Source organism: Homo sapiens, chromosome 6 (assembly GCF_000001405.40).
Source record: "Homo sapiens chromosome 6, GRCh38.p14 Primary Assembly".
In the NCBI taxonomy this organism is placed as follows: Eukaryota; Metazoa; Chordata; class Mammalia; order Primates; family Hominidae; genus Homo; species Homo sapiens.
In genome coordinates, this window is record NC_000006.12 from 32,767,920 (window position 1) to 32,795,806 (window position 27,887).

General features: G+C 38.8%; 42 annotated features.

The window, feature by feature from the left end:
• Positions 10,626-10,770: an enhancer, noted in NCBI's record as "145 bp 6:32746394 sequence used in MPRA reporter constructs". NCBI's record gives its function as "activates a minimal TATA-containing promoter with rs201402353 allelic activity by MPRAs in C283T melanocytes {active_cell/tissue: C283T}" and the evidence as "EXISTENCE:reporter gene assay evidence [ECO:0000049][PMID:36423637]".
• Position 10,698: a transcriptional cis regulatory region, noted in NCBI's record as "rs201402353 or 6:32746394 MPRA-significant variant associated with a GWAS melanoma risk locus at 6p21.32". NCBI's record gives its function as "allelic transcriptional activity by MPRAs in C283T melanocytes {active_cell/tissue: C283T}" and the evidence as "EXISTENCE:reporter gene assay evidence [ECO:0000049][PMID:36423637]".
• Positions 11,959-12,103: an enhancer, noted in NCBI's record as "145 bp 6:32747727 sequence used in MPRA reporter constructs". NCBI's record gives its function as "activates a minimal TATA-containing promoter with rs28986333 allelic activity by MPRAs in C283T melanocytes {active_cell/tissue: C283T}" and the evidence as "EXISTENCE:reporter gene assay evidence [ECO:0000049][PMID:36423637]".
• Positions 11,959-12,162: a biological region, named in NCBI's record as "melanoma risk locus-associated MPRA allelic enhancers 6:32747727 and 6:32747786".
• Positions 12,018-12,162: an enhancer, noted in NCBI's record as "145 bp 6:32747786 sequence used in MPRA reporter constructs". NCBI's record gives its function as "activates a minimal TATA-containing promoter with rs28893531 allelic activity by MPRAs in C283T melanocytes {active_cell/tissue: C283T}" and the evidence as "EXISTENCE:reporter gene assay evidence [ECO:0000049][PMID:36423637]".
• Position 12,031: a transcriptional cis regulatory region, noted in NCBI's record as "rs28986333 or 6:32747727 MPRA-significant variant associated with a GWAS melanoma risk locus at 6p21.32". NCBI's record gives its function as "allelic transcriptional activity by MPRAs in C283T melanocytes {active_cell/tissue: C283T}" and the evidence as "EXISTENCE:reporter gene assay evidence [ECO:0000049][PMID:36423637]".
• Position 12,090: a transcriptional cis regulatory region, noted in NCBI's record as "rs28893531 or 6:32747786 MPRA-significant variant associated with a GWAS melanoma risk locus at 6p21.32". NCBI's record gives its function as "allelic transcriptional activity by MPRAs in C283T melanocytes {active_cell/tissue: C283T}" and the evidence as "EXISTENCE:reporter gene assay evidence [ECO:0000049][PMID:36423637]".
• Positions 12,253-12,397: an enhancer, noted in NCBI's record as "145 bp 6:32748021 sequence used in MPRA reporter constructs". NCBI's record gives its function as "activates a minimal TATA-containing promoter with rs28986334 allelic activity by MPRAs in C283T melanocytes {active_cell/tissue: C283T}" and the evidence as "EXISTENCE:reporter gene assay evidence [ECO:0000049][PMID:36423637]".
• Position 12,325: a transcriptional cis regulatory region, noted in NCBI's record as "rs28986334 or 6:32748021 MPRA-significant variant associated with a GWAS melanoma risk locus at 6p21.32". NCBI's record gives its function as "allelic transcriptional activity by MPRAs in C283T melanocytes {active_cell/tissue: C283T}" and the evidence as "EXISTENCE:reporter gene assay evidence [ECO:0000049][PMID:36423637]".
• Positions 12,369-12,513: an enhancer, noted in NCBI's record as "145 bp 6:32748137 sequence used in MPRA reporter constructs". NCBI's record gives its function as "activates a minimal TATA-containing promoter with rs28986335 allelic activity by MPRAs in C283T melanocytes and UACC903 melanoma cells {active_cell/tissue: C283T | UACC903}" and the evidence as "EXISTENCE:reporter gene assay evidence [ECO:0000049][PMID:36423637]".
• Position 12,441: a transcriptional cis regulatory region, noted in NCBI's record as "rs28986335 or 6:32748137 MPRA-significant variant associated with a GWAS melanoma risk locus at 6p21.32". NCBI's record gives its function as "allelic transcriptional activity by MPRAs in C283T melanocytes and UACC903 melanoma cells {active_cell/tissue: C283T | UACC903}" and the evidence as "EXISTENCE:reporter gene assay evidence [ECO:0000049][PMID:36423637]".
• Positions 14,068-14,212: an enhancer, noted in NCBI's record as "145 bp 6:32749836 sequence used in MPRA reporter constructs". NCBI's record gives its function as "activates a minimal TATA-containing promoter with rs28893541 allelic activity by MPRAs in C283T melanocytes {active_cell/tissue: C283T}" and the evidence as "EXISTENCE:reporter gene assay evidence [ECO:0000049][PMID:36423637]".
• Position 14,140: a transcriptional cis regulatory region, noted in NCBI's record as "rs28893541 or 6:32749836 MPRA-significant variant associated with a GWAS melanoma risk locus at 6p21.32". NCBI's record gives its function as "allelic transcriptional activity by MPRAs in C283T melanocytes {active_cell/tissue: C283T}" and the evidence as "EXISTENCE:reporter gene assay evidence [ECO:0000049][PMID:36423637]".
• Positions 14,578-14,722: an enhancer, noted in NCBI's record as "145 bp 6:32750346 sequence used in MPRA reporter constructs". NCBI's record gives its function as "activates a minimal TATA-containing promoter with rs28893549 allelic activity by MPRAs in C283T melanocytes {active_cell/tissue: C283T}" and the evidence as "EXISTENCE:reporter gene assay evidence [ECO:0000049][PMID:36423637]".
• Position 14,650: a transcriptional cis regulatory region, noted in NCBI's record as "rs28893549 or 6:32750346 MPRA-significant variant associated with a GWAS melanoma risk locus at 6p21.32". NCBI's record gives its function as "allelic transcriptional activity by MPRAs in C283T melanocytes {active_cell/tissue: C283T}" and the evidence as "EXISTENCE:reporter gene assay evidence [ECO:0000049][PMID:36423637]".
• Positions 15,983-16,127: an enhancer, noted in NCBI's record as "145 bp 6:32751751 sequence used in MPRA reporter constructs". NCBI's record gives its function as "activates a minimal TATA-containing promoter with rs28986366 allelic activity by MPRAs in UACC903 melanoma cells {active_cell/tissue: UACC903}" and the evidence as "EXISTENCE:reporter gene assay evidence [ECO:0000049][PMID:36423637]".
• Position 16,055: a transcriptional cis regulatory region, noted in NCBI's record as "rs28986366 or 6:32751751 MPRA-significant variant associated with a GWAS melanoma risk locus at 6p21.32". NCBI's record gives its function as "allelic transcriptional activity by MPRAs in UACC903 melanoma cells {active_cell/tissue: UACC903}" and the evidence as "EXISTENCE:reporter gene assay evidence [ECO:0000049][PMID:36423637]".
• Positions 16,362-16,506: an enhancer, noted in NCBI's record as "145 bp 6:32752130 sequence used in MPRA reporter constructs". NCBI's record gives its function as "activates a minimal TATA-containing promoter with rs28986372 allelic activity by MPRAs in C283T melanocytes {active_cell/tissue: C283T}" and the evidence as "EXISTENCE:reporter gene assay evidence [ECO:0000049][PMID:36423637]".
• Position 16,434: a transcriptional cis regulatory region, noted in NCBI's record as "rs28986372 or 6:32752130 MPRA-significant variant associated with a GWAS melanoma risk locus at 6p21.32". NCBI's record gives its function as "allelic transcriptional activity by MPRAs in C283T melanocytes {active_cell/tissue: C283T}" and the evidence as "EXISTENCE:reporter gene assay evidence [ECO:0000049][PMID:36423637]".
• Positions 16,668-16,812: an enhancer, noted in NCBI's record as "145 bp 6:32752436 sequence used in MPRA reporter constructs". NCBI's record gives its function as "activates a minimal TATA-containing promoter with rs28986383 allelic activity by MPRAs in UACC903 melanoma cells {active_cell/tissue: UACC903}" and the evidence as "EXISTENCE:reporter gene assay evidence [ECO:0000049][PMID:36423637]".
• Positions 16,668-16,922: a biological region, named in NCBI's record as "melanoma risk locus-associated MPRA allelic enhancers 6:32752436, 6:32752477 and 6:32752546".
• Positions 16,709-16,853: an enhancer, noted in NCBI's record as "145 bp 6:32752477 sequence used in MPRA reporter constructs". NCBI's record gives its function as "activates a minimal TATA-containing promoter with rs13203642 allelic activity by MPRAs in C283T melanocytes and UACC903 melanoma cells {active_cell/tissue: C283T | UACC903}" and the evidence as "EXISTENCE:reporter gene assay evidence [ECO:0000049][PMID:36423637]".
• Position 16,740: a transcriptional cis regulatory region, noted in NCBI's record as "rs28986383 or 6:32752436 MPRA-significant variant associated with a GWAS melanoma risk locus at 6p21.32". NCBI's record gives its function as "allelic transcriptional activity by MPRAs in UACC903 melanoma cells {active_cell/tissue: UACC903}" and the evidence as "EXISTENCE:reporter gene assay evidence [ECO:0000049][PMID:36423637]".
• Positions 16,778-16,922: an enhancer, noted in NCBI's record as "145 bp 6:32752546 sequence used in MPRA reporter constructs". NCBI's record gives its function as "activates a minimal TATA-containing promoter with rs13203581 allelic activity by MPRAs in C283T melanocytes and UACC903 melanoma cells {active_cell/tissue: C283T | UACC903}" and the evidence as "EXISTENCE:reporter gene assay evidence [ECO:0000049][PMID:36423637]".
• Position 16,781: a transcriptional cis regulatory region, noted in NCBI's record as "rs13203642 or 6:32752477 MPRA-significant variant associated with a GWAS melanoma risk locus at 6p21.32". NCBI's record gives its function as "allelic transcriptional activity by MPRAs in C283T melanocytes and UACC903 melanoma cells {active_cell/tissue: C283T | UACC903}" and the evidence as "EXISTENCE:reporter gene assay evidence [ECO:0000049][PMID:36423637]".
• Position 16,850: a transcriptional cis regulatory region, noted in NCBI's record as "rs13203581 or 6:32752546 MPRA-significant variant associated with a GWAS melanoma risk locus at 6p21.32". NCBI's record gives its function as "allelic transcriptional activity by MPRAs in C283T melanocytes and UACC903 melanoma cells {active_cell/tissue: C283T | UACC903}" and the evidence as "EXISTENCE:reporter gene assay evidence [ECO:0000049][PMID:36423637]".
• Positions 17,208-17,352: an enhancer, noted in NCBI's record as "145 bp 6:32752973 sequence used in MPRA reporter constructs". NCBI's record gives its function as "activates a minimal TATA-containing promoter with rs72249788 allelic activity by MPRAs in C283T melanocytes {active_cell/tissue: C283T}" and the evidence as "EXISTENCE:reporter gene assay evidence [ECO:0000049][PMID:36423637]".
• Positions 17,278-17,283: a transcriptional cis regulatory region, noted in NCBI's record as "rs72249788 or 6:32752973 MPRA-significant variant associated with a GWAS melanoma risk locus at 6p21.32". NCBI's record gives its function as "allelic transcriptional activity by MPRAs in C283T melanocytes {active_cell/tissue: C283T}" and the evidence as "EXISTENCE:reporter gene assay evidence [ECO:0000049][PMID:36423637]".
• Positions 17,886-18,030: an enhancer, noted in NCBI's record as "145 bp 6:32753654 sequence used in MPRA reporter constructs". NCBI's record gives its function as "activates a minimal TATA-containing promoter with rs12663979 allelic activity by MPRAs in UACC903 melanoma cells {active_cell/tissue: UACC903}" and the evidence as "EXISTENCE:reporter gene assay evidence [ECO:0000049][PMID:36423637]".
• Position 17,958: a transcriptional cis regulatory region, noted in NCBI's record as "rs12663979 or 6:32753654 MPRA-significant variant associated with a GWAS melanoma risk locus at 6p21.32". NCBI's record gives its function as "allelic transcriptional activity by MPRAs in UACC903 melanoma cells {active_cell/tissue: UACC903}" and the evidence as "EXISTENCE:reporter gene assay evidence [ECO:0000049][PMID:36423637]".
• Positions 18,526-18,670: an enhancer, noted in NCBI's record as "145 bp 6:32754294 sequence used in MPRA reporter constructs". NCBI's record gives its function as "activates a minimal TATA-containing promoter with rs28986391 allelic activity by MPRAs in UACC903 melanoma cells {active_cell/tissue: UACC903}" and the evidence as "EXISTENCE:reporter gene assay evidence [ECO:0000049][PMID:36423637]".
• Position 18,598: a transcriptional cis regulatory region, noted in NCBI's record as "rs28986391 or 6:32754294 MPRA-significant variant associated with a GWAS melanoma risk locus at 6p21.32". NCBI's record gives its function as "allelic transcriptional activity by MPRAs in UACC903 melanoma cells {active_cell/tissue: UACC903}" and the evidence as "EXISTENCE:reporter gene assay evidence [ECO:0000049][PMID:36423637]".
• Positions 18,690-18,834: an enhancer, noted in NCBI's record as "145 bp 6:32754458 sequence used in MPRA reporter constructs". NCBI's record gives its function as "activates a minimal TATA-containing promoter with rs28986397 allelic activity by MPRAs in C283T melanocytes {active_cell/tissue: C283T}" and the evidence as "EXISTENCE:reporter gene assay evidence [ECO:0000049][PMID:36423637]".
• Position 18,762: a transcriptional cis regulatory region, noted in NCBI's record as "rs28986397 or 6:32754458 MPRA-significant variant associated with a GWAS melanoma risk locus at 6p21.32". NCBI's record gives its function as "allelic transcriptional activity by MPRAs in C283T melanocytes {active_cell/tissue: C283T}" and the evidence as "EXISTENCE:reporter gene assay evidence [ECO:0000049][PMID:36423637]".
• Positions 19,153-19,297: an enhancer, noted in NCBI's record as "145 bp 6:32754921 sequence used in MPRA reporter constructs". NCBI's record gives its function as "activates a minimal TATA-containing promoter with rs28986404 allelic activity by MPRAs in C283T melanocytes {active_cell/tissue: C283T}" and the evidence as "EXISTENCE:reporter gene assay evidence [ECO:0000049][PMID:36423637]".
• Position 19,225: a transcriptional cis regulatory region, noted in NCBI's record as "rs28986404 or 6:32754921 MPRA-significant variant associated with a GWAS melanoma risk locus at 6p21.32". NCBI's record gives its function as "allelic transcriptional activity by MPRAs in C283T melanocytes {active_cell/tissue: C283T}" and the evidence as "EXISTENCE:reporter gene assay evidence [ECO:0000049][PMID:36423637]".
• Positions 19,319-19,463: an enhancer, noted in NCBI's record as "145 bp 6:32755087 sequence used in MPRA reporter constructs". NCBI's record gives its function as "activates a minimal TATA-containing promoter with rs28986410 allelic activity by MPRAs in C283T melanocytes and UACC903 melanoma cells {active_cell/tissue: C283T | UACC903}" and the evidence as "EXISTENCE:reporter gene assay evidence [ECO:0000049][PMID:36423637]".
• Position 19,391: a transcriptional cis regulatory region, noted in NCBI's record as "rs28986410 or 6:32755087 MPRA-significant variant associated with a GWAS melanoma risk locus at 6p21.32". NCBI's record gives its function as "allelic transcriptional activity by MPRAs in C283T melanocytes and UACC903 melanoma cells {active_cell/tissue: C283T | UACC903}" and the evidence as "EXISTENCE:reporter gene assay evidence [ECO:0000049][PMID:36423637]".
• Positions 21,148-21,292: an enhancer, noted in NCBI's record as "145 bp 6:32756916 sequence used in MPRA reporter constructs". NCBI's record gives its function as "activates a minimal TATA-containing promoter with rs28986460 allelic activity by MPRAs in C283T melanocytes {active_cell/tissue: C283T}" and the evidence as "EXISTENCE:reporter gene assay evidence [ECO:0000049][PMID:36423637]".
• Positions 21,221-21,222: a transcriptional cis regulatory region, noted in NCBI's record as "rs28986460 or 6:32756916 MPRA-significant variant associated with a GWAS melanoma risk locus at 6p21.32". NCBI's record gives its function as "allelic transcriptional activity by MPRAs in C283T melanocytes {active_cell/tissue: C283T}" and the evidence as "EXISTENCE:reporter gene assay evidence [ECO:0000049][PMID:36423637]".
• Positions 26,760-26,904: an enhancer, noted in NCBI's record as "145 bp 6:32762528 sequence used in MPRA reporter constructs". NCBI's record gives its function as "activates a minimal TATA-containing promoter with 6:32762528 allelic activity by MPRAs in C283T melanocytes {active_cell/tissue: C283T}" and the evidence as "EXISTENCE:reporter gene assay evidence [ECO:0000049][PMID:36423637]".
• Position 26,832: a transcriptional cis regulatory region, noted in NCBI's record as "6:32762528 MPRA-significant variant associated with a GWAS melanoma risk locus at 6p21.32". NCBI's record gives its function as "allelic transcriptional activity by MPRAs in C283T melanocytes {active_cell/tissue: C283T}" and the evidence as "EXISTENCE:reporter gene assay evidence [ECO:0000049][PMID:36423637]".

Sequence of the window (27,887 nt, forward strand, 5' to 3'; positions counted from 1 at the left end):
TAATGTATGTATACACAATGGAATTCTATTCAGGCTTTAAAAAGAAAGAAATCCTGGTGTAAGCCGAAAAGTGACTGAGGCAGGTCTCAATCAATTAGAGGTTTATTTTGCCAAGGTTCAGGATGCACCTGGGAAAAACACGAATCACAGGAGCATCTGTGATCAATGCTTATTCCAAAGAGGGTTTTGAGAACTTCAATGTTTAAAAAGAAAGAGTAAGCAGGAAGGGAAAGAGAGAGGAAAAAAAAAAAAAAAGGAGGGAAGGTAGGCAATGACACAAGTGGTTACATTCTTGTGAGTCTGATTAGCCTCAGTAAATCTACATTTTACATGTGAAAAGAGGGAGTAGAGGAAAAAGTCACTTATGCAAAAACAATAACATTGTAGAATCTTCCCAAAAGATTCATTTTCTATTCTCACAGACCGACAATTCCACTCAAGTTAATTTCTGCAAAAGCATCCTAACTGGTCTTCCTGCCTCTACTTTATAATGTCAACATTGCTCATAAATCCAAGTTAATCTCTCTGAGTATGAGTTTCTTTAACTGCAAAATGAGAATATTATCTATTCCATAGAGTAATGCCAAGGATTAAATGAAGTGGCAAATATATAGCATCTAAAATAGTTTTGAACACATAGTAGATGCTCAATAATAATTTTTTTTAATTTTTAATATAATTTTAATTCAATAGCTTTTAGGTTACAAGTGGTTTTTTGTTATATGGATGAATTGTATAGTGGTGAAGCCTGGAATTTTAGTGAACCTGTTACCTGAGTAGTGTGCATTGTACTCAATATGTAGTTTTTTATCCTTCACCCTCCTTCCCATCCTCCCCAATTTCTTACTCTCCATTGTCCTTTATACCATTCTGTATGCCTTTGAGTACCCATAGCTTAGTACCCACTTAGCTCCTACTTACAAATCAAAACATATGGTATTTAGTTTTCCATGCCTCAATTAGAAGTTGTAAATTTTGATGGAGTCCAATTTATATATATTTTTTTCATTTCTTGCCTATGCCCTCGGTGTTATATCCAAGAAATCATTGCCTAATCAAATATCATGAAGATTTTCCCTATTTTTTTTCTAAGAGTTTTATGGTTTTAGTTTTCACATTTAGGTCTTTGATTCATTTTGAGTTCATTTTGTCTATAATGTAGGGTAAGAGTCCAGTTTCATTCTTTTGTATGTGGACTTCCAGTTTTCCCAGCACCATTGTTGAAAAGGCTGTCCTTTCCGCATTTAATGGCCCTGGCACTCCTGTTGAAAATCGTTTGACTATATATGTCAGGATAATTTCCTGGTTTTGATATTGCACTTTAGTTATGTAAGATGTTACAATTGGGGAAAACTGGATGAAGGCTATACAGAATCTTTTTGTTCTATCTTGGTAACTCCCTTTGAATCTACAATTATTTCAAAATATAATGTTAAAAAAGCAAAGCCAACCGAAATAATGTGTTTATCTTTTAACAAACTAATTCAATAAGATACCTAATAAAAATTACCCAATGTGAAATACAAAGAGAAAAGAAGAGCAGGGGAAAAACAAAACAGAGCATCCAAGAGCTGCAGTGCTGTATTGAATGGTTACATCACCTTTGTTTGTTTGTTTGTTTGTTTGTTTGTTTGTTTTGAGACAGGGTGTCACTCTGTTGCCCAGGCTGGAATGCAGTGGTGCGATCACAGCTCACTTCATCCCCCACCCTCGCCCCCAACTCAGGCAGTCCTCCCGTCTTAGCCTCTTGAGTAGCTGGGAATACCAGCACCATGCTTGCCCACTTAATTTTTCTCTCTTTGTAGACAAGGTCTCCTTATGTTGCCCAGGCTGCTCTTTAGGTTCAAGCATTCCTCCCACCTCAGCCTCCCAAAGTGCTGAGATTACAGATGTGAAACATTGTGCCAGGCTTATTTTTTTAATGTACTTTTACTCTCTTTCTCTCTTTGTGTTTCACTCTGGGTAATTTTTATTGATCTATTTCAAACTCACTGATTCTTCCCAGGGCTGTACCACATTTGCTGATGAGCTTGTCAAATGCATTCTTTATTTTTGTTAATTTATTTTTATTTTATTTCCATTTCATTCATCCTTAAAGCTTTCATATCTCTGCTGAAACTGTCTAATCTTGCATGTTGTCTACCTTTTCCATTAGAGATTTTAGTATATTAATCACAGTTTATGAAGCAGGTTTACTAATTACCAATACCAAGGGAGGAAAGGGAGGACTTCCACTGCATGGAGAATAGAAAAGATCATCACTATGCCAACCACCAGGAAAAGAGGTCCAGATACTTCTTCCCACTGCATTCTGAGCTACTGTTTATGTCCACCATGCACTGGCTACCTGTTTATCTGAGTCTGGTGAAACAGAACACACTCACACACAAATTATGTGAAGCAGTTTTATTACTTACAGATCAGTAGCAAGGGACAGAAGAAGCCTCAGCTCCATTGTGAGTCAGTCTCCTAAAGCTCAAGAAAGCTGCCCAGGAGAGATGAAGTCTTAACCGCACCAATTACTCTATTATAGCCTAAAGTGTAAGTCACAGCTCAAACTCTTGATCACTTCATTCATATTACATGTTCCAAAAAACAACCACAGGAAAACTTCTCCAACAGTAACTTTGCATGAACTCATGTGTTCTGTCAATCGAGAAAAATGGCAAGTCTCAATCATTTTAGGAGGTTTATTTGCCAAAGTTAAGAATAAGCACCCAGGAGACAGGTCTATACCTTTCTCCGAAGATAATTTTGAGGGCTCTAAATTTAAGGGGAAAGGGTAGGGATATTGAGAAGTACACAATTTTCATGTAAGAGGAGGGTAAGGAAAAATAGTCATTCATGCCTTTGTCTGGCTCAGTTAATCTGCATTTTTTTTACATAAGATGACATAGACAAAACGGGGGAAGGGGAACAATTAGATATGCGTTTGTGGCCGGGCGCGGTGGCTCATGCCTGTAATCCTAGCATTTGGGGATGCTGAGGCAGGCAGATCACTTGGGGTCAGGAGTTTGAAACAGGCCTGGCCAACATGGTGAAACCCTGTCTCTACTAAAAGTACAAAAAAAAAAAATTAGCCAGGCATGGTGGCAGATGCCTGTAATCTCAGCTACTTGGGAGGCTGAGGCAGGAGAATCACTTGAACCCGGGAGGTGGAGGTTGCAGTGAGCCAAGATCGCGCCACTGCACTCCAGCCAGCATGACAAAGCGAGACTCCGTCTCAAAAAAAAAAAAAGAAAAAAAAAAAAGATATGCATTTGTGTCTTCTGGGCAGGGGCGTGACTACACCTGTAAAGATAAGCTACCAATTTACATTGCCATGGTAAAATTTTAACAGAAACACCTTAGAGTAAAGATCTTGCAGCTCACAAGGACTTTCCTTGTGGACAAAATATGAGGGAGGCATGTAGCTTTTCATTTTGTAGCCATCTTATTTAGGAACCAAAAAGGGGGAGGCGGGTTTTCGCAACCCCGTTCCCAGATTAACTTTTCCCTTAGGCTTAATGAGTTGGAGTCCCAAGATTTAATTTCCTTTCATAGTTCTAAAACTATGACCAAGTGTTCATTTCTTCCTGATAGGCACTTAGCACACTGACCATGTGCCTTAAATTGTCCATATGATGCGAAGAGCTATAAATCCATGGAGTCGTAAGTTTGGGGATACCAACCACAATCCATCTGCAGCAGAAGTGGTTCCTTTGGAACCAAGCTTGAACAGGTCTAAAAACTAGGTTGTTCTTCTGGTTTAGTGACAGAGACTACTATCCCAGATGAAAATACAATAGTCTTTTAGTGCTTCTATGCATGGTCATGTCTGTCAGTAGACACTAAAACAATCATAATTCAAGAACAGAGTAAATAGTAACATAGACCCTTCTGGAATAGTTGTCTCTGTCACCAAAACAGAAAAACAAACTAGACTAAATTCAGAGGATGAGGGGAATCAAGAATGGCTTGTGAAGGAGGGAAACAAATATTAGTTACAGTCATAATGACAACTATAATAGTAGACACTGTAGCAAATTTCACTAACTTTCTTGCCTTAATCTTCTAGATCACAATTGATCACTCTTGTACCTCCCTTCTTGAGGAAAAATTAAAATGTGTTAATTTTCTCAGGAAAAAAAATGAAAGGCACCATATTGGACTATGGGAGCTTGGAATTCTGAATCACCACCTGGAGAAAAGTGACTCACAAATCTTCAATATCCTCCTTCTGCTACATTAGTGAGTTATAAACTTCTACTATATTTCAGCCACAATACACATTTTAGTCTATTTGTTGCAGCAGTTTGGCCTATTCTAATTAGTATAAAAAGAAGAAAAAATAATCATAGAAAAAAATTAAATGAAGAATATAACAATTTTAATAGTTTCTCCTGACTTAGACTCACCTGAAATGATCCTCATTCTTTGTTTTAGGATTAGCAGAGATGTAAGACAGAATTTCATGAAAATATTCAACCTGGTGGATGATGCCAAATTAGCAGTTAGCGTGTGTGCCTGGAATTCAAACCATACAAATCCTCCCTGCCCACCTCTCATCCTATCCTTTAGAGCAGAGCCTGTTTCTCATATATTGCCCCCAAGTCTATATCAATCAAATTAATTTTTATTATCCTGAAAACACCTATAGAAAGACTAACATGTTGAAAGTTATATTTAAATATGGGCACTCTGCTTCATACTCTTTTGCCAATATTACTTCAAAACTGTACAAACCTATATTCTTTGCATTTGTGAGAAATTATTATATTGTAGATAAGGCTAAAATATTTTGTGAATCAAAACATACTATAAAAAGTTGGAAAGAAAGACTTCATTTGGATGTAAATACATGAAAATAGCAGCCCAGACACTCAAGACAAGAGGAATAATAACTAAGTGACCACAAAGGAAATTTTTTATCACATGCCTGGCTGTTCCAGACAGGGAAGCTTGCTTTACCTGAAGGAAGTGGTCACTAGACCAGAATGTAACCAAATACAGGATTCTGCTTTAAAAAAAAAAAAAAAAAAGATTCACAAAAGTCACGTTCAAGTTAAACCATTAAATACTTTCTTCTCCAACTAATGAGAAGATGTGGGGCCTCATTAATTCTCTCTGGCAGATTAGGTCAATGAATCCATTCCAGAAAAAAAATTATTGAAAAGAGCAATAAATATACAAAATATCAAAGCAGTCATGTGTGCAATCCACAGAAAAGAATAGAAATTTACTTAAGGACAGAAAGAAGTTTAGTAAACAATGATACCACTTTCTTGGACAGGGCAATTTGTGTCACTTTTCCAGACAAAATACATGGATTTGGTGATGCTTTAATCTAAATAGTAATAAGACAGTTTTATTAACAAAATGTTTCTAACTTTCAAGAGCGGTATACAAAAACAACTATTGATAAAAATAAGGAGAGGTACTCTAATAGATGTTTACAAATGATTATAAAGCTAAACAATTAAAACATGTTCATAGTGCCCCAAAAAAAGGACAACTGTGGAATGATATTGGCTGCACATAAACAGAACCTAATTTATGCCACAATTAATGAAATTGAAAATTTTGTTTACAATAGCCCCCTCTTATCCATGGGAGATATGTTGCAAGGCACCCCAAAGGATGCCTGAAGGCATGTACCAAACTCTGTATATGCTATGTTTTTCTACACATACAAACATATGATATAGTTTAATTTACAAATTGTGCAGTCATAGGTTAACAACAATAACTAATAATAAAATAGAACAATTATAACAATATACTGTAATAAAAGTTATGTAAATGAGATCTCTCTCTCTCTTTCTCTGTCTCTTTCTCTCTCCCCTCTTCTCAAAATATCTTATTGTACTAAACACCTATATTTTCACACTGTGATTGATTGACCACCAGTAACTGAAACTGTGGAAAGTGAAACCATCGATAAGGGAGGACCACTGTATTACATTTCTAGGAAGTCGCAAACCCTTTGAGAAAATTTTGGGATGGGAGACAAACATATTTCTAAGAAGCCTTCAATGTTACAGGTTATATTCTTCACTTCTTCAAAGTACATAAGGGCCCACTCTACTCTTCTGGAGTCTATCCAAATTTGTAGGGTAATGGGCTGTAGCTAATGAGGAATGGAACTCAGTGGGATGTAAGGGGTCCGGAAACAAGTTTTTTGAAATATACTTGATTGTCATGACACCAATATGGAATGAAAGAGAAAGCAGCATAGTGATGAGGAAATTATGGTGAGATTTTTAGGACAAGAAGCTATTTTAAAAGAATTTTAAATCATTTTTCTTGGTGTTAGAAATACAATCCTAATTTGATATTTTTCAAGAGGTTGCAATATAATTTGAAGTATTTGAAATGGAGTATGGGGAAATTTGCTCTGGCCTCTCTAAAGAACATCAAACTGGGACTGCTTTCAAGGATAGAACAAGTTATCCTGCATTTATGTTGGATAAATTAAGAATGTAGTGCATAATAAAGCAAACTTTTAATCCAGTGGAATAGGAAAAATTACTAAAAATAGTGTTGGGTCAATTAGTGAGTTAGTGGGATAGTAAAAAGAGCCCATACATACACACATACAGAGATTATACTGAGGCAGATTAAAAGTTTAAATGAGAAGGAACTCAGAACTGAGGAGGAACCACCCAGAACATGCTTGCTAGTAACACATCTTCCCACCCCCTTATGAATAATCATGTAAGACTCCCATAAAGGGAGTTTCCCCAGTAACATTCAACACTGTCTCACCCGCACAAGCAACCTGCCCTGAATTGTCTCTTGGGGTGTACTGTTGATTCTGCACCTAACTTTCAGAGTATCCTTTCTCCTTTGCAAGAAATTGCTCTATGTTGTATCTCCTTTGCTGTGTGTCTGTTGTTTAAATTCTTTTAAACTAAGAAGACAAGAACCGAAGTTTCATGAAAGCCATCAACAAAAATATAGAAAAAAAAAGTAAATATTTATTTTATTAAAAAGTGGTGAGATGAGTTTAAATAACAAAACAAAGAAAGAAACCGTACAGGAAAGTATTCTTAGACTATACTAAGAAAAAGTAAAGAATTAATATGTGAAAGGTATATCAATTTTAAGCATTCTGTTTATGTCAAAGGTGCTTATGGTGCAGTATGTAAAATTTAAATAAACAAAGCATATTGTATTAATTTTCTAGCCACTGTCATAACAAATTAGTAGAAACTTTGCAGCTTAAAACAACACCCATTTATTATCTCAGTTTTCTAGGTCAGAAGTCTAGGCAAAGCTCAACTGGGCTCTCTGCTTAGGATCTCACAAGACTGAAGTCACAAGCTGACCTTATAATTCTCATTTGAATATGGAGTCCTCTTCCAAGCTCACTGCCTGTTGACAGAATTTATTTCCACGTATGACTGAGGTCCATGTTTTCAAGCTGGCTATCAGCCAGGGATCAGTATCAGCTCCCAGTGACCACTCTCAGTTCCTTGCCACATGGCCCTCTACATCTTCAAAGTCAGTAATACAGAGTCTTTCTCATGTTTAATCTCCCTCTTCAAGAAAAGTTCAGTCCCTTTCAAGGGCTCACCTAATTAGTTCATGCTCACCTACAATAATTTCCTTTTCATAAGGCTAATTGCAGTCAAAACATAACCCAATCACAGTAGTGATCATACCATTAAATTTACTGGTTACTATTGGGAGCAAGCCCCCCAAAATCTGGCCATAAACTGGCCCCAAATTTATGGCCCAGTTTATGGCCATAAACTGGCCATAAATAAAATCTCTGCAGCACTGTAACATGTCCATAATGGCCTTAACGCCCAAGCTGGAAGGTTGTGGGTTTACGGGAATGAGGGCAAGGAACACCTGGCCTGCCCAAGGCAGAAAACCACTTAAAGGCATTCTTAAGCCACAAACAAAAGCATGAGCAATCTATGTCTTAAGAGCATGTTCCTGCTGCAATTAATTCAGCCCATCCCTTCGTTTCCCATAGGAATACTTTTAGTTAATTTAATATCTATAGAAACAATGCTAATGACTGGTTTGCTATTAATAAATATGTGAGTAAATCTCTGTTCAGGGCTCTCAGCTCTGAAGGCTGTGAGATCCCTGATTTCCCACTTCACACCTCTACATTTCTGTGTGTGTGTCTTTAATTCCTCTAGCGCTGCTGGGTTAGGGTCTCCCTGACGAAGCTGGTCTCGGTAGGTTCCACCCACATTTAAAGGAAAATAATTTTATAAGGTATGTACAACAGGGGGTGATAGATATTCCTGGGGGCCATCTTAGAATTCTGCTTTCCTTCTCACCTCTTCAGCCCTCTGGCCACCTGTAATTCATGTCCCTCTCAAATGTAAAATACATTAATCCCTTCTCAAGGGCCCCCCAAAGTCTCATTCCATTACAGCCTCAGATCAAGGCCAATATCCTGTCTAAATCTTGTTAGCTCAAAGTCCAAATTCGCAGTGCCTTCATACCAAATTACAGGACTTGAAGATGTGAGAATTAGGAACTTGACAGAATATCTAATTATAATTGCTAACAGTCATGAGATTAGTTTATTAATTAAAATCTCACCTGGGAACCAAGTGTATAAATGTCATTGAATCCCTGGGGATAGAGACAGGGAAGCACAGGGATCTGATGATATTTATAGTCACTTAACAAAAAAGACTAGGTGGTATTTTTTTCACCCACACCTAGCTTTGCTGGCATTGAGAAGACACACCTAAGAGAATAATTAATCATACCTACAGGACCCCTTCTTCACTGAGACAGAATAGCAATGAAGTCATTGTTATTGGTGTCATCTGCACTCTACTTATTTATACTTCATATACTTACATAGTATATACCAGAACACTTAAATTAATTTCATCTCCAATTACTGTATATTATTATTATTTTTTTTGAGACAGAGTCTTACTCCATTGCCCAGGCTGGAGTGCAGTGGCACAATCTTGGCTCACTCTGCAACTTCCATCTCCTGGGTTGAAGCGATTCTCCTGCCTCAGCCTCCTGAGTAGCTGGGATTACAGGCATGTACCACCACACCCGGCTAATTTTTGTATTTTTAGTAGAGACAGGGTTTCCCCATGTTGGCCAGGCTGGTCTCAAACTCCTGAACTCAGGTAATCCGCCTGCCTCGGCCTCCCAAAGTGCTGGGATTATTTTGTATTCTAGATGTCGATTTTGCTGTGTTAATTAATTTCCTGATGATTGCAATAGAATACCTGAAACTGGGTAATTTATAAAGAATCAAAATTTATTTCTGGAGGCTGGGAAGTCCAAGAGCATGGTGCCAGCATCTGGTGAGAGCCTCCTTGCTAGTGGGGACCCTCTGCAGAGTCCCATTGTGGTGCAAGGCATCACATAGCAAGCAGGCTGAGAGGGCTACCTCAAGTATCTCTTTCTCCTCTTATCAAACCCTTAGTGCCCCATCACCCCATCCTCATGACCTCATCTAATACTAATTACTTCTCACATCTCCCACCCCTAAAATATCATGGTCTGTTTTCTTACCCTTTTATACTGTTACAATAGGGATTAAGTTTCTACATAAGATTTAGAGGAGCAAACTTTCAAACCATAGCATTTCACCCCTGCAGCCTCAAAACTCATATTCTTCTCACATTCAAATACATTCATTTTATCTCCAGAGCCCCAAAGTCTTAACTTTCTCTAGTACCAACTCAAAAGTCCAAAAGTCCAAAGTCCTTATCTGTGAGCCTGAGATACTAAAGCCAATTATCTACCTCCAAGATACAATGCTGGGACAGGAGAAATGGGCCAGAAGAAAGAAGTAACAGGCCTCAAGGAAGTCTGAAACTCAACAGGGAAAGACATTAAATTTTAAAGCTGGAAATAATGTCTTTTGACTCCATGTTCCTCATCCTGAGCACACAGGGGCAGAAGTTGGGCCCCCAAGACCTCAGGCAACCCTGCCCTCATGGCTTTGCTGGTTGCAGCCCATATATGGCTGTTCTCATGGGTTGGAGTCAGGTGCCTTGGGTTTTCGAAGCTGGGACTGCATGCTGGTAGCTCTACAGTTTTGGAGTCTTGGTGGCAGTCCCACTGTCACAGCACCACTAGATATTTCCCTGGGGAGGACTCCCTGTAGCAGTTCCAACCCCACAGTTCCTCTCAGCATTGCCCTAGCAGAGGCTCTTGGTGGTTGAAGGGGTGGGTCGCCCCTCCACACCTGTGGGTGTTTCTCGTTAGGTGGAACGAGAGACTTGGAAAAGAAAAAGACACAGAGACAAAGTATAGAGAAAGAAATAAGGGGACCCAGGGGACCAGCGTTCAGCATATGGAGGATCCCGCCGGCTTCTGAGTTCCCTTCATATTTATTGATCATTCGTGGGTGTTTCTCAGAGAGGGGGATGTGTCAGGGTCACAAGACAATAGTGGGGAGAGGGTCAGCAGACAAACACGTGAACAAAGGTCTTTGCATCATAGACAAGGTAAAGAATCAAGTGCTGTGCTCTAGATATGCATACACATAAACATCTCAATGCTTTACAAAGCAGTATTGCTGCCTGCATGTCTCACCTCCAGTCTTAAGGCGGTTTTTCCCTATCTCAGTAGATGGAACGTACAATCGGGTTTTATACCGAGACATTCCATTGCCCAGGGATGGGCAGGAGACAGATGCCTTCCTCTTGTCTCAACTGCAAGAGGCATGTCTTCCTCTTATACTAATCCTCCTCAGCACAGACCCTTTACGGGTGTCGGGCTGGGGGACAGTCAGGTCTTTCCCTTCCCACGAGGCCATATTTCAGACTATCCCATGGGGAGAAACCTTGGACAATACCTGGCTTTCCTAGGCAGAGGTCCCTGCAGCCTTCCGCAGTGTTTGTGTCCCTGGGTACTTGAGATTAGGGAGTGGTGATGACTCTTAAGGAGCATGCTGCCTTCAAGCATCTGTTTAACAAAGCACATCTTGCACAACCCTTAATCCATTTAACCCTGAGTTCGACACAGCACATGTTTCAGAGAGCACGGTGTTGGGGGTAAGGTCATAGATTAACAGCATCTCAAGGCAGAAGAATTTTTCTTAGTGCAGAACAAAATGGAGTCTCCTATGTCTACTTCTTTCTACACAGACACAGTAACAATCTGATCCCTCTTGCTTTTCCCCACAGTGGTGGCCCTGCCCCTGTGGCAGTTTTCTCCTTGGGTTCCCAGGCAGTCTGATACATCCTTTGAAATCTAGGTGGAGATTTCTATGCCTTCCCACTAGTCTTGCATTCTGAAGACCTGCAGAAATAGCACCACATGCATGTGGACATTGCCAAGGCTTACTGCTTGTGCCTTCTGCAGCTACAATATGAGTCACATCTGGGGCCACTTGAGCTATGGCTGGAGCAACCAGGATGAGGGAAGCACTGCCCTGAGGTGGCATTGGGCAGCAAGCCCATGGAGGACACCCCAGGCCTGTCTCCTGAAACCATTCTTTCCTCCTAGAGCTCTGGGCCTGTGATGGCAGGGGTAGACTTGAAGATCTCTAAAGTGCATTCAGTGTTTGTCTCCCATTGTCTTGATGAATAGCTTCTGGCTTTATTCTATTCATACAATTCTCCTTATCAATCAGTCCCTCCTTAACAATCATTCCTTCAGACACACCCTTGGTTTCCTCTGTTGAAAATGCTCTTTCAGGGCCAGGCTGCAAAATTTCCTAATCTTTCCACTTAGCTTCCCTTTTAATTATAAATTCCACCTTTAAGTTATTTTTTACCTCTCACAGCTTTAATGTAAGCAGTTAAAAGTAGCCATGCAGCTGCCTGACTGCTTTGCTGCTTAGATATTTCTTCTGCCATATAGCCTAATAAAACCATCAGATATAGACACAATTCAGAGCCAAGTTTTTCACCCATTTATTACAAGGATGGCCTTTACTCCAGTTTCCAATTCCTTGTTCCTCAGACCTGAGACCTCAGCAGAACAGCCCTTACTGTCCATATTTCTATTGACATTCTGGTCCTGACCACTCAAATCATCACAAAGGAGTTCCAGACTTTTCCTAGTCTTCTTGACTTCTTCTAAGCCCTCACCAAAATCACCCTTTATCACCAGAATTGACATTTAAGGCAATACAGGCTTTTTCTCGCCTGCCTTTTTGAGTTCTTTTAACCTCTACCCATTACCCAGTTCCACAGCTGCTTCCACATTTTCAGATATTTGTTATTAGCAACAGCCCAACTTTTTAGTACCAATTTTCTGCCTTAGTCTGTTTCTTGTTGCTTGTAACAGAATGCCAAAAATTGGGTAATTTATGAAGAAACAAAATGTATCTCTTATGATTCTGGAGGATGAGAAGTCCCAGAGCATGGTGCCAGCATCTGGTGAGAGTCTTCTTATTGGTGGGCCCTCTGCTGAGTTCTGATGAGGTGCAGAGCATCATGTGACAAGAGGGCAAAGGGGTATGGCTCAAGGTCTCTGTTTCTCCTCTCAATGCCCCACCCTCAAGACCTCATCTAATCCTAATTACTTCCCAAAGGTGCCACCTCTCAAATACCATAGTTGGATTTACAGCCCTCTTAATACTATTACTATGGGGATTAAGTTTCAATATGAGTTTCAGAGAAAATAAACATTCAAACCATAGCATTGCCCATCTCTTTTACTCTCCTCCCTCCTCTTCTTTTCTGTACTCCACTGTCCCTGTCCAGAGGTTTTATTTAGCCACTCCACCTCAGCCCATCAGGCTTCCAATCAAAATCCCAGTTCTTCAGTGATCATTCAGATTTATTGTCCTGTTGTAATATCTGGAACAATAACAATCTTCTCAGGACAGTTGTTTTTTATTTGCTTCAGTTCCTTTTGAGAAAGTTATTCTGTGTCTTCTCACTTCCTTATATCTATAGCATACAAGTGTTTGAAAACATTCTCCTCAACCTCCTTTAAAATCATGGGGAGCCCAACCTCAGCTCCTAGCCAGAAGCAGAAAGTCAAAATTTGGCTGTCTTTCCTCCATAGAGCACTTTTGGTTTCTTTCCCACTTAGGAATTAAATTCCCAGCCAATAATGCCTACTTTCAGGCATAGAAGTCAAGACTTCAGCCCTACTCACCATATGCATATCTATCTTATTTGAAGTTCTCAGGAAGAACTTTTGTATCTACACTCATACTTTTTAATCCTTTTTAGTACATTGCTTCATATAGCTTTCTTGGTGGTGGTTGTACTTATTACAATATATACATATAACTTATCACAGTCTACTGGTATTGATGTTTTACCACTTTGAGTGAAGGATACAGTCCGTATCTCTAGTACCATTAGCATATTTTACCCTCTCTACTTTTTAAATGCAATTGTATTAAGTATTTCTTCCACATGCATTCCCATCCACAGTTTGGATATTTGTCCACTCCAAATCTCATGTTGAAATTTGATCCCCAATGTTGGAGGCAGGGCCTAATGGGAGATGTTTAGACCATGGGGGCAGATCCCTCATGAATGGCTTTGTGCTAATGTCATGATCCTAATGCTTGTTTTATTCCTCAATGTCATCATTGATTCAACCATAGCTTTTATTTTTAATTTGCTTTTTGTTTGTTTGTTTTCTTTTTTTTTTTTTTTTTTTTTTTGAGACGGAGTTTCGCTCTGTCGCCCAGGCTGGAGCGCAGTGGCGCGATCTCGGCTCACTGCAAGCTCCGCCTCCCGGGTTCACGCCATTCTCCTGCCTCAGCCTCCCGAGTAGCTGGGACTACAGGCGGGCACCACCATGCCCGGCTAATTTTTTGTATTTTTAGTAGAGACGGGGTTTCACTGTGTCAGCCAGGATAGTCTCGATCTCCTGACCTCGTGATCCGCCCGTCTCGGCCTCCCAAAGTGCTGGGATTACAGGCGTGAGCCACCGTGCCCGGCCTGTTTTCTTTTCTTAACTATTATTTTAAGTTCGGGGTACATGTGCAGTTTTGTTACATAGGTAACCTGTGTCATGGAGGTTTGTTGTACAGATTATTTTGTCAAACAGTTATTAAGCCTAGTACTTATTAGTTATTTTTCCTGATCCTCTCCCTCTTCCCACTCTCCACCCTCTGATAGGCCCCAGTGTGTGTTGTTTTCCTTTATGAATTCATGTGTTCTCATAATTTAGCTCCTATTTATAAGTGAGGACATACAGTATTCGGTTTTCTGTTCCCCCATTAGTTTGCTAGGGATAATGACTTTCAGCTTCATCCATGTCTCTGCAAAGGACATGATTTTGTTTCTTTATGGCTGCATAGTATTCCATGGTGTATATGTACCACATTTTATTTATCTAGTCTATCATTGATGGGCATTTAGGTTGATTCCATGTCTTTGCTATTGTGAATATGCTGCAATGAACATATACATGCATGTGCCTTTATAACAGAAAGATTTATATTCCTTTGGGTATATACCCAGTAATAAGATTGCTGGGCTGAATGGTATTTCTGTCTTTAGGTCTTTGAAGAATCTCCACACTGTCTTCCCCAATGATGAACAAAACCTCTGAGAAATATGGGGTTATGTAAAGAGACCAAATCTATGACTGATTGGTGTCCCTGAAAGAGATGGAGAGAATGGAACCAACTTGGAAAACATAGTTCAGGATATCATCCATGAGAACTTCCCCAATCTAGCTAGAGAGGCCAACATTCAAATTCAGGAAATGTAGAGAACCCCAATAAGATACTTCACAAGACTTTTATCCCCAAGACACACAATTATCAGCTTCCCCAAGGTCAAAATGAAAGAAAAAATGTTAAAAAATAAAAAATAAAAACAACTAGAGAGAAAGATCAGGTCACCTACAAAGGGAAGTCCATCAGACTAACAGCAGACCTCTCAGCTAAAACCCTACAAGCAGAAGAGATTGGAGGCCAATATTCAATATTCATAAAGAAAAGAAATTCCAACTCAGAGTTTCATAATTGGCCAAATGAAGCCTCATATTGAAGGAGAAATAAGATCCTTTTCAGACAGGCAAATGCTGAGCAAATTCATTACCACCAAACCTACCTTACAAGAGCTTCTGAAGGAAGCACTAAATATGAAAAGGAAAGACTGTTACCAGCCACTACAAAAACACACTGAAGTACACAGACCAGTGACACTATAAAGCAACCACATAAACAAGTCTGCAAATTAACCAGCTAACATCATGATGACAGGAGCAAATCCACACATATCAATACTAACCTTAAATGTAAATGAGCTAAATACCCCAATTAAAAGACACAGAGTGACAAGCTGGATAAAGAACCAAGATGTATTGGTATGCTGTCTTCAAGAGACTCATCTCACATGCAATGACACACAGGCTCAAAATAAAGAGATGAAGAAAAATCTACAATGCCTTTTTTCCTTAAAATTTGTTTTTTACATTAATAAATTGATATCATTTTTCAAAATTAGTATTTGCATGATATATCCTTTCTGTCTTTTACACTCAATCTCTGAAATGACTTTTATGCTTTAGACATATGTCTTGTAAACAGTATAATCTGAATTTGTATTTTTGCATTCAATTTGTCAATCTCTGTCTTTTGATCACAAGTCAAGTCTATTTGCATTTTACTGAAATAAATAACATATATGGACCTTTATATTATCTCACATTTTTCATTTCGGTCTTTTCCATGATTTCAATGACTTTTTTCCTGTTAGCCCATTTCTATAACCCATTCTAGCATGTGTATCAGGCTGGGATGGCAGGTGGATTCATTCTAACCTCTACCTTGAGATGTGTTTTCAGACTCTGTTAAGGTTTACGTTGCTCATTTCTGGCATCCTTCACATAAGAATTACTGATCCAGGCCCAGCCATTTGTAGATTTTGAGACATTGTTCTGGCTGTCTGCATATGGCCTGTCTCTGGACTTAACATCCCATGTCCTCACTCAGACTACATAACTTTAGACCCACCCTATTACTATGGACTCCCTGTCTATTTGTATTTTTTCAGCAAAACGTCTAAAAGTAATTATCAATATTCTTGAAACATTAACTTGATAGATTCTTGTAAAATCACATAATCTATTGAAAATTATATGGGTGCTCTAAACTATACCCCCTGGATAATCTTACCTGTACACAGTTTGAATAGATGTCCTTTACAGCTAGAATAATGATACTAGTTAAAATCAGAGGACTAATCCATGGGTAGATCATTTCAAAATTTACTCTGAGGCTTAAAAGGAAATATATTTTGTAAAGCAAGAAAGTATATTTTCCAAGATCCAATTAGCAATGAAGGCATCCTAATAGTATCTGGGATCCTCACATGTGAAAAAAATAAACTAGATTACAAAAGAGAGGACTTACATACACTTAGTTCTTGCAGGAGGAAAGGAACTATCTAGACGTTGTTATTTTGTTCAAAATAAGTATAAGTACAAAAATCTGTGGTAGTAAATCTAGTGCACTATTCTTACATGTGACACTAATAACCCAAGGAAAAATAATAAAATATTTCTGCTTCTTTTGAAATGAGCCTGTCATGGCCTGCATGGAAGTTCACTACTGATAAGCACTTTGTTTCTTTATTCCCTTACTCAGCTTTCCTCTTTTGTAGCTTCATAGCAAGAATCACAACCTAACACTGCATTTTATGTCTGTTTATTATGTGACTTTTTTTAGTTCCTGCTAGAATTAAAGCTCATAAAGGTAGGGACACATTTGCCTTTTTGACTAAGTTATCTGGAATAGCATGTAGCACTTAGTAGGAGCTAAATAATTATTTGACAAATAAATGGATACATTCATTGATGAATTTGATGTCCACATAAAGGCTATCTTTATTTAAATAAACCCGTTATTTCCATGAGTCACTTGCTCCTCCTGCTACATGTAGAGAACTATCATTCAGGATTTCAGTTGAGTTCTAAACAGTTGGATACTTCCACAATCAGGGATCTTCAATTCCTCCACTTGGCGTTTTATTCAACAGAAGTGCCTTTGGACATTCACACTTGATCTTCCAAAACCACATCAGCTTCTAGAACAATGCTTCTAGACAGTTTCTTAGTAACCCCTCAAAGACGTGATTTCACATTTTTATCAATGTATAATTTTATTTAAACTGAAATGACATAATATTACTGTGTCAAATATTATAGAGAAAGTTGGCCATCTTTGCATATGCTGTTTTCCATTTGAGTTTCTTCTGTGAATTACTGTTCATCTACTTTCCAATATTTCAACTAGGTTATTTAATCCATTGATTTGAGCAGTACTTTATTTCTTCCTTTGTGTAATATATGTATTGAAAAATATCCAAATATACTTCATAACTATGTTGCCCAAATTTTGTAATGCATACTAACAAATATCTACCTGTTATATTCATTTTTAAGAAATATACTAAAATGTAATAACTTGTACTTTTCCCATCCCACTTTGCTTTTCTAAGCAGTATTTATGTATTTCAACTTTTTTTACAGTTTAAATACAATATACTTAGGTGTAGGTTTTCTTTGTTTTTTTTTTAAATACAGGGATTACCTACAGAGGAACTAAACATAGTAATATAATAAAATTGCAAGAAGGATGCCAGAGACATAAAATTGTTGGTGGTCTAAATTATCTGCTTTCAGATAATTAGATAACTGATGTCTAAATTAATACCCCACATACACAAAGATACACATATTACCATTAAAAGTCATTGACCTGGGGATAATGCTAGTGGAGGAAAGGAATGGCATGAAGGGCTCTTGTTTTCATTAAAATACATCTTTATTGTTTAATCCTCAAACTATATACAGGTATCCTGATAAATTTAAAATACTGATTGCAAAATAAAATTTAATTCTTACTGAAATATCAAGAATGCTGCAGATGGTGGCAGGATGCTCAATGTGAAAAAGGATAGTGGCTTGCATTAGAATGACAGCAGCGAAGTTTGTTTTAAGCATGTAATTTTATAGTACCAATCTCTTATCTGTGAAAGCGTGTAAAAGACTGAGCTCTTCAGTTCTCAAACAAAAGCAGACTTTAACTCCTGCTCCAGTCATGCTTCTTTGCTTCTCAAACACCCATAACCACATCTCAGATTGCATCATATTTTGAACACATGGAAGGAAGAGTAAGGGAAAAAAGAGTGGCTGGGTTACCACCCTCAAGAAATGCTGATCCCTCAAATCTAGACCTGCCAAGGGGCCAGGAGAGAAGGGAAAGCAGCAGCTCCCTTGAATTTTTAAAGTGCAATGTCCCCACCTACTGGTGAAGATGACCCAGTTAACATCCCTACAGCTGTCAATGTCTTCCTAGGACATTGACTTCTTCTAGTAGAATCAGTGTGCTTCAGCTCAGTTTTACACCAGAAGATAAACAAAATATAAATCCAAGATTTTTGCAGTGCAGTGGAGGTCTCTGAGGGTGTTGCAATGAGAATTTTAAACACAAAGCTAGTTTTAAAATAACACCATAATTAGCAGTCCCTTTCCCCAGCATCTATCTACTCCTCACAGCTTCTGCTCAGATTGTCTTCTCTCCATTGTCTCTTCCATCGCCCTGTACAAATCTCCTCTCTTACACTGCATTTCCTGCCCACACCCTGCTTCCCCATGCGTTAAGTTAGCAGCCTTTTTTCCCTCTTGTTGTTTTCTGCCTTCTGATATTTCAGATAAGAAATCTGTTTCTGGGCCGGGTGCGGTGGCTCATGCCTGTAATCCCAGCACTTTGGGAGGCCAAGGCGGGTGGATCACCTGAGGTCAGGAGTTCGAGACCAGACTGGCCAACATCGTGAAACCCCGTCTCTACTAAAAATACAAAAATTATTCATTGGTCATCTACTTGGTGTCCAGCACTAGGTTATTCCTAAGTATCACTGAACTTTGTGATAACGCTGAAGATATGTTTGGAAGTTTCAGGAACCAGAAGAAGAACACGATTCAGGATGTTTCTTCTTGTGACATTTATTTAAATTCTCTGGTTCTTATATTTGAGGTTTGACTGTAGCTGGGGAGGGTAGGAGAGGGATGGGAAAAAGAAAATGGAAAGATATTCCCTGGAAAAGAAGATAATTGTCTAAGAATTGTTCATTTTTTCCTTGTCTTGGCACTATGAGACACTGGGATATAATATAAAAGGTAACAGATTTTGAGAAAAATGCATTTGTCCCGTAGTTGGAGAATTCGTTAAGTTTGTGACCCTCAACAAATCACATATTCTCTGTTAGCCTCAGTCATTTTAACTTTAAAGTTTAGATAGCTTCCATTTGGTGGGATTAATATTAAGATGAAATGAAATTTTATATATGAGACCTACTAATTGCGTATTCTGACAGAGAGCTACAACACCAAAGCTAAGCCCTGTTATGTGCTTCCACAGGGGACAAAATAGAGGCTGTGAAAAGTAGATAGTTGAGTAAAGCTCATTGAATTATTTAATCAGCTACTTCCATTCTTAACCATAAATCTTGCATAACCATTTAGAGGATGCTATCCTGAAAAAGATAATCAGTTTTACAGAGAAGTCTTGGTAGCTCTGAGGCTATTAATAACCCCAGTTACTACAGTAACAACCGGGAGGTGAAACAGATTAATCAGAGGTAAATAGGTTAAAATAAAGCTTATCGGAGTTCTGGGAAATCTCTATCTATCCCAGAGAAGAATAATGCATAATGAGTGATAAAATATTTGATTTTAAAAATTTAAATTACCCACAAATGATCTCCCATTCACAATTGCCACAAATAGAATAAAATACCTAGGAATATAGCTAACAAGGTAAGTGAAGAACCTCTTCAAGGAAAACTGCAAATCACTCTTCAAAGAAATCAGAGATGACACAAACAAAGTGAAAAACATTCCATACTCATGGATAGGAAGAATCAATATCATGAAAATGGCCATACTACCCAAAGCAATTTATAGATTTAATGCTATTCTTATTAAACTACCATTGACATTCTTCAAAGAATTTTTAAAAAACTATTTTAAAATTCACATGGAACCAAAAAAAGAGCTCGAAGAGCCAAGGCAATCCTAAGCAAAAAGAACAAAGCTGAAGGCATCACATTACCCAACTTCAAACTATACTACAGGGCTACAGTAACTAAAACAGCATGGTACTGGTACAAGAACAGACATATAGACCAATGGAACAGAATACAGAACCCAGAAATAAGACCACACACCTACTAGCATCTGATATTCAACAAATCTGACAAAAACAAGCAATGGGGAAAGGATTCCCTCTTTAATAAATGGTGCTGGGAGAACTGGCTAGCCATATGCAGAAGATTGAAACTGGACCTCTTCCTTACACCATATACAAAAATCAACTCAAGTTGGATTAAACACTTAAATGTAAAACCCAAAACTATAAAGACCCTAGAAGAAAACCTAGGCAATACCATTCAGGACATAGGCATGGGCAAAGATTTCATGATGAAGAGGCCAAAAACAATTGCAACAAAAGCAAAAATTGACAAATGGGATCTAATTAAAGTAAAGAGCTTCTACACAGCAAAAGAAACTACCAACACAGTAAAAAGACAACCCACAGAATGGGAGAAAATTTTTCAATCTATGCGTCTGACAAAGATCTACAATTCAGCATCTATAAGGAACTTAAATTTACAAGAAAAAACCCATTAAAAAATGGGCAAAGGACATGAACACATACTTCTCAAAAGAAAACATACATGTGGCCATGAAACATATGAAAAAAAGCTCAATATCACTGATCATTAGAGAAATGCAAACCAAAACCGTAATGAGATACCATCTCACACCAGTAAGAATGGTTATCATTAAAAAGTGAAAAAACAACAGATGCTGGAGAGGTTGTGTTGGTGGGAGTGTAAACTAGTTCAACCATTGTGGAAGACAGTGTGGCAATTCCTCAGAGACCTAGAGACAGAAATACTGTTTGACCCAGCAATCTCATTACTGGGTATATAACCAAAAGAATATAAATTACTCTATTATAAAAGACATATGCATGCATATGTTCATTGCAGCACTATTCACAATAGCAAAGACATGGAATCAACCCAAATGCCCATCAATGGTAGACTAAATAAAGAAAATGTGGTGCATTATGTAGCCATGAAAAGGAATAAGATCATGTTCTTTGCAGGGACATGGATAGAGCTGGAGGCCATCCTTAGCAAATTAACACAGGAACAGAAAACCAAATATCATATGTTCTCATTTATAGGTGGGAGCTGAATTATGAGTTTATAGTTCTCATTATAGGTGGGAGATGAATGATGAGAACTCTTGGACACATGGAGGGGAACAACACACACTGGGGCCTGTCGGAGGTAGGGGATGGGAGGAGGGAGAGCATCAGGAAGAATAGCTAACAGATGCTGGGCTTAATAACTAGGTGATGGGATGATCTGTGCAGCAAACCACCATGGCACACATTTACCTATGTAACAAACCTGCACATCCTGCACATGTACCCCTGAACTTAAAATAAATGTTGGAAAAAATATATTTAAATTACTATTATATTTATCAAAATTATTATATTTATTGGTATAACAGTAACAGTTATCCTTTTTAGACCTTAATATGTGCCAGACATATTGTACATTAAAATATATTATCACATGTGCTTTTCTTAACAGACTATGAGGTAATTATTATTATCTAAATTTTCAGATAAGGAAAACATCTTTCAGTTTGAGTACCTTGCCCAAGATCACAGCTCATAATTTGTTTTAATGATATACCTTAGATAATCAGTATTAAAATTTACATAATACTTCAGTCATTTACACTAATAAGAAAAGTATTTGAGCAAAATATTAAAAAAACAAAATTACATAATTTCAAATAACACAGCTTTTACTAACCCATTAAATTCATTACAAGGAACCAGTCTAAGGACTGTTGATTGAATCAAAAGAGTGATGGTGACATTCTCTTTCTAATTGTCTTGAAATTAATACAAAACACTAATTTATATCACATATTATTCATATGAATTTAGTTAACAACATATATTAATTGATTATGTATAAGTGCTTTCAAAATACTTATGATGTTTGAAAATTAGACACACATTCGTATTTTAATGCCCCAGTTACACCTCTCCCAATGTATTACTGAGTAATCTTTTTAATTTTTATTGCGCAAACAGAATCTCAGGTAAGTCTTTGAATTAATTAATGCTGGTGATTAGCAAATAAACACCCTTTATGTTTCATATGTCATGCACAATTAAGGACCTGAAATTAATTGAGGAGAATAGAGAACCTGCATTAACGAGACATTCCCTTGCTACCACTGTTGTAAGTATCCAGATAATTTGGGGGTTCATTATAGACATGGAAAAAGTATTTTGTATAAGGAGAATCTTCCCATGTCTGCCTTTGGTTTTGCTCTCTCCCCATTACCCTTAGTTTTATGATTTTCTCCTTTTTCAAATCTAAAGTGTTCACAGATCAATCTGAAGAATTCCATATGGATTCAACAGAAATTTACTAAATGCCTAAAATGTGCTAAAGATATAGACAAAATAACTGCCTCTGTTGTGTATGTATATTTTGGGGGAGGAAATACACTAAAATATTTTTTAATCAAATATTTTACCAGCCATTATGCATCAGTCACTCTCTAGGTGCCAGGAATGTTGCATGGAAGGAAAATGGGCATGGACTCTGCCTCATGGGGCTGAGACTGTAGTAGACATGACAAACAGTTGTCTTTTGTTTTCCTATCATGTTAAGATCTGGGAGAGCATTCCAGGCAAAAGAGAGTGCAAGGCTCTGGAGGACAGTGTGAGCTTCGTGAAAGAATAAGAAGGCCAGTGAGGCTGGAACAGAACGGGTTGGTTGGACAATTATAGGAGACAAGATTGGACAAGTACACATGTAAGACATGGTAAGGAGATTTGATTTTATCCTAATGGTAATCAGATCAAATATCTCTACCCTAACACTTCACTGTCACATTTCATAAAGATATATACAAATGTGAAATCTTCCAGTGAATTTTTTCTGCTTTTTTTTTTCTAAACAAACCTTCATATTCTCAAAACTAAGGAGATAGCACCCAAGAGCAGAACCTAAGGAGAAGCAAATAGAAAAAGAGAAATTAGGAAATAAGAAAGTTAGCAGTTTTCTTTGATAGCAAGTGGAGGAATTAAACATTCCTACACTGGGCTGGGTGTGGTGGCTCGCGCTTGTAATCCCAACACTCTGGGAGGCCAAGGTGAGAGAATCGCTTGAGCTCAGGAGTTCAAGACCAGTCTGGGCAACATAGTGAGAGCCCTATCTCTACAAAAACTTTAAAAAGAAATTAGCCGGGCCGGTGGAATGTGCCTGTCGTCCCAGCTACTAAGGAGGCTGAGGCGGGAGGACCATCTGAACCCAAGAGGTCAAGGATGTAGTGAGCTGTGTTTGTGTCACTGCACTCCAGCCTGGGTGACAGAGACCCTCTCAAAAAAAAAAATCCTACATTGGAAGAAAGGAGAAATAACTTCTATTTTTACATTACTAAAGGGGAAAACACGAAATACAAAGCTGTCACCTGGCTTCCGTCAACAGTGATCTGATGATGAACGGTGTCCCCTCAGAATATAAAGGTGTTCTTTGAACGTTCACAGGAGCGATACCTAACCCGGATCATAGAGGGTGTTTGTGTTCAGAGGACACTAAATTTGAGTCCCTGCATGCATCACACAAGTCTTCGCCCAAACTACCATTTGCAGGCTCACTTCTTAGCCCCACCCCTACTGAGAACGCAGAGCCATTTGCACGCTTCCTGTCCTTGGAAACGGAAGAAACTTCAATTACATGATGGCTTTATGCTACCTAGACCTCTTTCTTCAGTCTTTGGCATGTTCTAATCTCGGAGGCGACTTTACACAGATGGCAATAGCATTCGCAGCTTGGAGGTCTTTTACCAGTGGCTAAAACTTGATCCAACAGCCTCAGCCGGTTCCCCCTGACTCCAGCCCTCTAGATGCTTCTCAACATCACCTTCATCTCCTTTCCTTTATTCAGGACAGTCGTGCCAAGAAATGCCTAAGAGAAGGGTGACCCTGGAAATGTCTTGACTCTGGGAAGATCTTCTAACCACTCCACATGGTAATAAGCACAGTGTTGACAGGTGTGAGGACTGAAGTGGGAGATCAAAGAGGAAAAGCCACGAATGAGGGTGTGGGGGGCAGTCAAGAGAAGCTCCCAAGGGAGCATGATCTGTGTAAATGCAGATTCTCTGGGTATTGGAAGATCCTTGGGGACAAATGCCAAGAAGACACCAACTTCTTTTATCAGCATCTCTCAGAATCCATGCCCTGTGGGTAGTTATATGTGAATATCAGAATCGCCCTCCACTGCCAGGGAGACCCAAGGCTTAATCTTGTATCTAATTTGGAAACAAAAAAAAATGTATATGATGAAATTATTCTGTAGTTTTGCTTGTAGCAGCCTCAGTTATCTTAAATATTCCTCCAACACATTATTTTCTTTATTAACTGTTACTATGCCCATGGCATTCATCACTCTGACACTTTCATAATGGATTATGAGGCTTGTACTTGTACTGATTTATTTATGTATTTGTCTCTGTTTGTTTTTTAGAGATGCGGGGGGGTCTCACTGTGTTGCCTAGGCTGGTCTTGAACTCCTGACCTCTAGTTATCCTCCTGCCTGGGCCTTCCAAAGTGCTCAGATCATGGGCATGCACCCAGCCACATTTTTAACCTATATAAATAGAGATGGGGAGAAAAAACAAAAAACTCCAAAGCATTTTTCCTTCTGTCTTACACAGTTACTTCTGACATCAGGTATGTGGAGATTTTTCCCCCACACCAAGCAATTCTCCAGCAGACACCGGGTTCCTCTAAATCAATTCAATTCTGATACTATTTACCTAAAAATAGCATCAGATCCCACAGATTGAGGGATCAGTCATGCAAAACTGCCCCCTTCCCACTTCAGATGCCAGTTGCTATCACCTGTACTTCTGACCATCCAATTATAGATTGGAGGTTCCCACAAACCTTTCCTCAGGTTCAATTAATTTGCTAGAGCAGCCCAAAGAACTCAGGGAAACACTTACATACACTGGTTTATTACATAGGATAAGACAAAGGATACAGACGAACAGATTGATAAAGAAAAACAAAACACATAGGACAAAGTATGGGGGAAAGAGTGCGGAGCTTCCACACCTTCTTCAAGAGCCTATCCTCCAGGCATCTTTCCGTGTTCTGCTATCTGGAAACTCTCCAAACTCTGCCCTTTTGGGTTTTAATGGAGGCTTTGTTATGTCAGCATGGTGAGTTGATTAAACCATTGGCCATTGGCAGTCAACTCAACCTTCAGCCCCTCCCTTCTCCCCAGAGATTGTGAGTGGGCTGAAAATCCCAACCCTCTAATCCTGCCTTGGTCTTTCTGGTGACCAGCCCCAGCCACCAGTCACCTCATTAGCATGCAAAAGACACTCTTATCACTCTGGAGATTCCAAGAGTTTTAGGAGCTGAAGGGCAGGAACCAGGGTCAGAAACCAAATATATACTTCCTATTATATCACAATATCACACACACTAGCTTGGGTCAATCAGTTGCATTAATTATTTGTGTATGATGTGAAGTACTCTTTTTAGTCACAAATTTATCTCTTTCAAATTACCAGGTAGGAAGTCAAAGGGAAAATTCTTTATTTCACTTTTGGAAAACTAATGAATAAACTAAATTAGTAATTACATGCTATTTCCACTTCTGTAAAAATGATATAGACCCTATATGCCTGTTATGAATAATAGATGAGCTTTGCAATGAAGAGCTATGCATGTTACTTTTTATTAGAATGAGTATGGCTTCAATTTTTATGTGACTATCAAAAGAGAAATATGGTTCTTTTTTCTAATTTAGAGTTTATCTAATAATGGTCCATGAGCTCTTGTGACCTCTCTTTAAACTAAGGTACATCTCACTGTTTCAACTCATGCCTCTGTGTCCTGCTCAGTGATTCACCATCTCCCTATACAAGAGATCCCCGACCTAGCAAGCTCATCTACAAACAAATATTCTTATTCTTGGAACAGAGTTGCCAAAAGCAGAGGCACACAGAAAAAAAAGTCTGTGTTTGAGAGCTCAGGAGAGAGAGGAGCCAAAAGAAACATCTACCAGCAGCTAAATGATTTGGTTCCTGAAGGGATTCGCTTCCATGAATAAGAATACGAGTAGGTACTCTCATTGGTACTTCTTCCTTATCTGTAGGTACCTGAGATGACTGTGTCCTCTAAAGCTTCTGTGATGCTAGATGCACCCAACATCATTTTCTATAATTGAGGATCGTAGCTTTCCCCTGTGATCCTCTGGCTCTATTGTGGGAAGATAGTCAAAAAATCATCTTTTAAAGTAGGAAATAAACTTCTTTTTATAGAATCAGCTCCCCTTCCTCTGCGCTTGTGGTTTCCATTACTATAAAAGAGAGCACTGAAGTCCAAAGAAAGTACTGTGTATTTCCCTTTTGGGGCCCTGATGTTCTGCCCATGGCATTCATGCCCCCAAAATTGTTTCATGCCACCATGAAATTGCCTCCACGTGGTGCCCATCTTTTTCCCTTCACTCATATTCTCAACATTTCCAGAACCAGAGAGAGAGAGACAGAGAAACAGAGAAGTTCTGACCTCAACACCACCTTTTCCTACAGAATATGTGGCACCCGTATTTTGTCAGAGAAGACAAATGCGTTGTTCCTCAGATTGGTAGGATTCATGGGCATTTCATCCTCATAATATGAGGTTGTATGCAGACAGTGCCTCCTGGTATCAAGAAGCCATGTGAGTTACACCACAGAGGAGAGGAAGTTAGGGGTTTCAAATATTTCAAAGAATAAGGAAGCTAAGTCATACTCAGAAGTTAACAAGAACTTTGGGGAGAGAGGAAGTCAAAATACAGAAATGCATTCAAAAAAAAGTTTAGGATGTAGAGGAGGATGGGATCACCATGAGACAGCCGTCCAATGCCCATGATAGTTCCTGTTACAGTAAGCCACATCTTCAGATAGAGAGAGAAAAGGCCACATGTATACTTACCTTGTATGAATGAGCACTGTTGTTTGATGAATTCCATCTCTTCCCCTCTTTTCAGTCCCTTCATCCTCATTGTAATAACAAGACTGCTGGTGATGTGGCCATGCAGAGCTCTTGTCCCTCATGTTCTTTCCACCTCGATCTTTCACTTTTCTCTATTTCTGCTTCTCCTGGTCCTACCTGGGCTCTCCCCAAGGGCTGCTCCTCACCGGGCAGCTAGTTACACGGCCACCACCACCCTGCCATCTACACAGAGGCCCTCCATCTCTCTGTGACCATTTTGATGAGATCTCTTTTTTTCATGGCATCCATCTTGGCAGTAGCAAGTTCATAGCCCAGAGTAAGAGGATTACCTGTTGGGATGCACAAAGGAATTTAAACCCCATTGAAATTTGTGACCCAAATCATTGTTTATGCTTAACAGAAATAGCAGCAATAAGATCGATTGAGGAATTATCTCACGTACTAAAACAGAAGACCTATCATTTTGTGGGAGGTAGTAGCCATGAATCCAAATCAAGCCTAGTAGTAGTACATTCCCCAGCGTGCTCAGAATATGCATAGAGAGTTTAAATCAAGGCGTAAGAGTTTCCAACCCTTCTATCTGTATGGCCAAGCCCCATTCATGTTAGTGCTGGAAGCATTCTTCCTGTATCTCATTGGTTTCTCGGGTACTTTTTCTCAATGTCTCCATTTAAAAACGTTTATATAGAGTTCTGGTTTCTGCTTGGGGATGCAGAGAACTGGAAACAATGATGCTTCCTTGCAACATGAAAGAAATCACACAAATTGCAAGGTCGCAATTTTTTTCAACCCATCACAGAGCTGGGATTGAGCTTCCAACTAGCTTGAAATCTAGGAAAGTTGTTGCCTGAGTGCTTGCTTACCTAAGGCAGGTACAGCTGGGCACTGGTAAGAAGAATTTAGCTGG